Consider the following 5,974-nt stretch of genomic DNA (forward strand, 5'->3'; position numbering starts at 1 on the left):
TCTCCACTGTCACCTTCTTGCTACTTATCACTATCCACTCATCTCAGGCCTTTACAGGCATTGTGAAAAGCACTGTTTTGTTTGTTTGTTTGTTTCAGGTGCAACTTTACCAATGTACTGCCCTTCCACAAAAAGAAATGTAGGAGTAGTTGCATCGCCGTCATTTAAACTGGTTAAGAATGAAGACTCAGATTCAAATCCCAGACCCAACTTTTACTAGCTACCTAACTATGGCCAAGTTATGTACTCTCTTCGCATCTCAGCTTCCACATTTAAAAAATGTATATTTTTAAATTACTTATCTACTATGTTTTCTGTGAGAGTTAAGGAGGATAGATAGATGATAGATAGATAGATAGATAGATAGATAGATAGATAGATAGATAGACAGTGCTCAGCACAATATAAGTACTCAGTAAGTATTAGTAGTGCTTGACCTGTTTCATGTGTGGGCAGGGCTTGAGAGCATGTCTGATACAAAGTTCTTATGTGTATCAGACTCTCTTTTTCTTTTCTTTCTTTCTTTCTTTCTTCTTTTTTTTTTTTTTTTTTTTTTTCTGAGACAGGGTCCCCCACTGTACCCCAGGCTGGAATGCAGTGGCATGATCGTGGCTCACTGCAGCCTTGAGCCCCTGGGCTCAAGTGATCCCTGCCTCAGCTTCCTGAGTAGCTGGGACTACAGGTGTGCACCACGTCTGGCCAATTTTTTTCATTTTAGTAGAGATGAGGTCTCACTATGTTTCCTAGGCTGGTCTTGAGCTCCTGAGCTCAAGCAATCCTCCCATCTCAGCCGCCCAAAATGCTGGGATTACATGAACCACTAATCCCTGTGTAATACGTCACAAGATGTATCCAATTTCTTGTGAATTTGAGGATAGCATAAGGGATTTACAAAATAGAAGAAAAAAATCACTTTAAGGTCAATGGCATATATTATTCCTTCGAAAGTCCCAGAGTTCCATTCCATCTTCGGGAGTCATTGCTGGCTGTTATTGTCCCAGGTGTACTCATCTCACATTTCACTCTTTTCTCAATTATCAGATCAGTGACCCCAAGTTCGTTACTTCTCCACTGTTTTGTTTTGTTTTGTTTTGTTTTGAGATGGACTCTTGCTCTGTTGCCAGAGCTGGAGTGCAATGGCACGATCTCGGCTCACTGCAACTTCTGCCTCCCGTGTTTAAGCAATTCTCCTGCCTCAGCCTCCCGAGTATCTGGGACGTCAGGCGCACGCTGCCACGCCTGGCTAATTTTTTGTATTTTCGTAGAGATGGGGTTTCACCATGTTGCCCAGGCTGGTCTCGAACTCCTGAGCTGAGGCAATCCGCCCGCCTTGGCCTCCCAAAGTGCTGGGATTACAGGCATGAGACACTGCACCCGGCCCTACTTCTTCACTTTCAATGCAGAGAAGACAAAAAAAAACCAATTACTATTAGAAGACTCTCTCTCCACCTAAGAAAACACCTATTATCTTCATTAGCTAAAGAAGTTTTGCTTCTGTGTCTTTCAGCTGCATATTAGACATCCATAACCCGAAGACCCACTGATGCATTTTCCCAAACCAAACAGGCGGTTTCTACTTGTAGTGAATGCTGTCACTACCCTTGATCATAGAAATGGTGGAAGTTTTACACTACATTTCTTTGCTCTTTTATCTCTCTAGAAATTGGAAAATATTTAAAAAGGAACAAACAAAAATATTTTTATTATTAAAATTATACTTCCAAAACTGTGAGGGAAAAATAATATGTTTCTGACCTTGAAAGATTATTAGAAGCTTTGCAGTTTGAGAGTCCAAATTTGAATGCTGGCGCACTTATATGTGAGGAATGTGATTTGGAACAAATACTTTTCTTTTGTGCCGCGGTTTGAACTTCTGGGGATATAATTCTGACTTCACTGGGCTTTTTGATAATTAAGCAATATCATATAGATAAGTAACTGGCATGTAATGGATGCTCATATTAGTCTTTCTTTCCCACTGAAAGGCAGAATTAGTTTTTGCTTTTTGCTCCTTAAATCTACTTGTTAGTGGGATCATACTTGAGTGTGTCTCAAATTTAAATTACATTTACTATTGATATGATTGTGCTCAGTTGATGCAATGATTGCTCGTTTTAACAAGAACATATTAAAAAGAGCAATACATCAGGGGAACAGACCAAGAATCATCCAAATAAGACGTCTGAATATTTGACATAGAATTTTAAGATTAAAGCAATAAGGACATTCAAGTGTATTTTTATACTCTTAAAAACTCTTTATCAATAGGTTTCTGTTCTTTATTATTATTATTATTATTATTTTAAAATGAGGTCTCATCATCTTGCTCAGGCTGGTCTTAAACTCCTGGGCTTAAGTGATCCTCCAGCCTCAGCCTCCCAAAGTGCTAGGATTACAGGTATGAACTACCGCACCAGGCCGGTTACTATTCTTTGATCTCAGTAAAATTTACAGGAAACGTTCCATTTTGTAAGTAATGATCACTGACTAGAGTATTCAGTAGAAATTCCATTTGCACACCTTTAATTTACTTCTCTCAGTATCCAAAAGTTTTCTTTAATTCTAGGAGGGTGGAATTTAGTAAAGGTCTTGGAGATTCTAAATGGTTATTGAATAAAGTAATTTAATTTGTTTAGATACGTTCACAGAGCCCCTTCAATATTAGAGCACAGTGAATAAGAGCAGAATGAAGCTCTCAGAAAAATAAGAATTGCATTGGAATCCCACCTCCACCACTCACTGTCTGTGTAACACTGAGCCTCAAACTTTAGTTTCTATGTCTAGCAACCGGAGACTGCAGTAGTGCCTACTTATAGTTAGAATCGTGAGATCATGCACTAAGCACAGAGCTTAGGGTCAGTAAGTGGGCTCCTTCTTTTTCTCCCTTTTTCTTCTTCTTCCATCGACTGTCTAAATCGCATCAAACTCATTATTTTGGTCATATATAATAGATCCTTTATGTTTTTGATGATTTGATTTCAGATTCTCTTTCTTGACAGAGGTTGATCTGGCCTACGTATGGTATGCCAGGAAGGATCAATAGGGCTACAGAATTTTAGGCAAGGAGAAGATAACTTCTTGTGCTCTCTTATGGTCAATTTCTCTGTTAAAATGTGAAATTCTGCCATTCCTTTAAGGAAGGTGGTAATATCATGTTGCTTTGATTTTAATGAGATTTGTTCAGAAGGTAGAACCCTTTGAGGGCTCCTTCATGAAACACCAACCTCAGCTGTTTTACATTCTGCAGGTGTTATGTAAATGCCAAATATTAATGTTTTACTATCTAGTAAAAGAGATGAAATAAGATTTTTGTTGCTGCTTGTTTCATAGGCTGCAAATAAGACTGGGTCATTGTCGTTTTGATTATTCAGCTGCAAGTTTCTTTGCCTTCAAAAAGTACAGTAAAAATAAATGCCGAGAATGCTTCTGTATTAAGAAGAACAACTATATAGGTAACATTTAGAGAGTACTTAAGTATGGGAGGCTGTACTAAGCCCTCTTCATGTATTGTCTCTCCCAATCTTCACAAAACTGTCTGAAATGAGCAAGAGTCTTAGCTTCACATGGCAGACAAAGAAGCTGATATTTTTAAACATTAAAGAACTTACTCAAGAATACAAAGCCAGTAAGTGGCTGAGTAGAGAAGTGAATCCAGGTTGATTTGAAACCAAAGTCTATACTGGTGAATGCAAGAGTCATAGGGAGTTATGGCACCTGTGAAGAACTGGAGAGGTTCTGCCCATTCAAAGGGAGCAGGTGCTGCTTGGCTACAGTGATTATTGTCACACAAGAATGAAGAACCAATGTTGCCAGAAATTCTGAATTTTTAAAGAAGGAAATATTGTAAACCACACATCTGATAGACAAATGGGCAAAGACCCTGAATAGACACTTCCCAAAAGAAGACAAACATATGCTGAGGCAGGAGAATTGCTTGAACCCGGGAGGCGGAGGCTACAGTGAGCCGAGATCACGCCACTGCACTCCAGCCTAAGTGAAAGAGAGAGACTCCGTCTCAAAAAAAAAAAAAAAAAAAGACATACATATGGCCAACAGATATATGAAGAAATGCTCAATATCACTAATGAGAGAAATGCAAATTAAAACCACAATGAGATATCACCTCACACTTGTTAGAATGGCTCTTATCAAAAAGATGAAAGTATTGAAGAGAATGTGGAGAAATGGAAACACTTTTGGTGGAAATGTAAATTAATATGGAATTTCATTAAAAAATAAAAATATAACTGTTATATGATCCAGCAATCCCATTACTGGGGTATACATTCAAAAGAAATGAAATCAGTATGTCAAAGAGATACGTGCACTCTCATGTTTATGGCAGCCTGTCATGTTCTTGACAAGATATGGAATCGTCCTAAGTGTCTATCAACGGATGAATGAATAAAGAAAATGTGGTATACATACACAATAGAATATTATTCAGCCTCATAAAAGAAGGAAATCCTATCATTTGTGTCATGAATGAGCCTAGGGAACATTTTGTTAAGTGAAATAAATGAGGCACCAAAAGACAAATACTACAGGACCTCACTAGTATGTGGAATCTAAAAAGGCTAGATTTTTTAGATTCACGGAAGCAGAGAGCAGAAGGGTAGTTTCCAGAGGCTGGGGCAGAGGAATGCAAGAGAGATGCAAGAACCGGGGAGATGATGGTTCAGTGAGATAAGAGGGAAAAAGTCAAGAGACGTATTATACAACATGATGACTGTTGTTAATAACAATGTATTGTATTCTTGAAAATTGATTGTAAGTGTTTCTCACTATGAAACAATGATACATATGTAAAGTAATGCATGTTACTACTAAATCAATGGCTTGATTTAGCCATTGCACAATGTATACATATTTCAAAATAACATGTTGTACACTGTGTATATATATTATACCTTTGCCAATTAAAGAAATAAAAAAGAAATAAAATGACAAAAATCTAGGTTGTCATGTACTCTGTTCTGATTTTTAAATGTTGACAACTTATACAATATGTTAAATCATACTAACAACTCAAAATATTTTAGAAATGATCGAGTCTAAGAGGCTGTCGGTTTGCTTTTCTGAACTTGAGTATAAGAAACTGAAGTCAACTGTGTCGAGAATGTGGAAGACACTGAATGACAAGCTAAAGACGGTTCTATTCGAGGTGCAAAAGTAATTGCGATTTTTGCCATTACTTTCAACGGCAAAAACCGCAATTACTTTTGCACCAACCTAATTGTTAGACAAAGAGGAGCAATTGAAGGCTTTTCAGCAGTGGTATGCAGACTGCTGTGCTGTAGAATGACCAGTTTGGTGGGAGTGCACAGATGGTTTGGGGATGAGAGAAAGAGCAGGCAAGATGGCCAGGTTGACAGCAGTTACATTCACTAAGATAGCTGACAGTCATTGAAACATAAATAGCTGATTTGTACAACTAACAGCTACTTATCACTATTGTCAACTATTTAATCCTACTTTTCAGAGTATATCAGTAAAAGAAAAACTTATCTGAGTACAAGGGCATCCCACTTAGCAGTATCCTTCCTAAACTTTATCAAATGTTAGCTTGTAAATGAACATGGATGCCGTTGATCTACAACATCCTATGGTGCGTTCTCTGCCTCCTCATCTTCCTCTGGCCTGATGTATCTCCACAGTTAGACGTTGCTCTCAAGCCATATCTTGGCACTGCTGCCTTAGACAGATTAAAAATTGCTAAAGGAGAGTTTCTTTTCCTCTACTTAGAACTCTGTATAAAAAACTAAAAGAAAGATGAAAAAGATTGCCCATGACAAAGTATCCCATTTAGGGAATGAGATGAGATTTTAAAGTTAAACCCAGAAAATCTAAGTGTTTCTTTAAAATGAAACATGCCAGATTAATTTATACAGTGAATACATATTTTATTGTGTGCCTATATTATGCCGGGAACTATGAGAAATTCAAATACGATTAAGACAAAACCCTGCCTCTC

General features: G+C 37.7%; 1 annotated feature.

Moving 5' to 3' along the window:
* Positions 5,019–5,552: an enhancer, noted in NCBI's record as "OCT4-NANOG hESC enhancer chr8:122198893-122199426 (GRCh37/hg19 assembly coordinates)". NCBI's record gives its function as "activates a minimal SCP1, AML or CMV promoter by ChIP-STARR-seq in primed H9 embryonic stem cells {active_cell/tissue: H9 hESC(primed)}" and the evidence as "EXISTENCE:reporter gene assay evidence [ECO:0000049][PMID:30033119]".

Source organism: Homo sapiens, chromosome 8, assembly GCF_000001405.40.
Source record: "Homo sapiens chromosome 8, GRCh38.p14 Primary Assembly".
Lineage (NCBI taxonomy): Eukaryota > Metazoa > Chordata > Mammalia > Primates > Hominidae > Homo > Homo sapiens.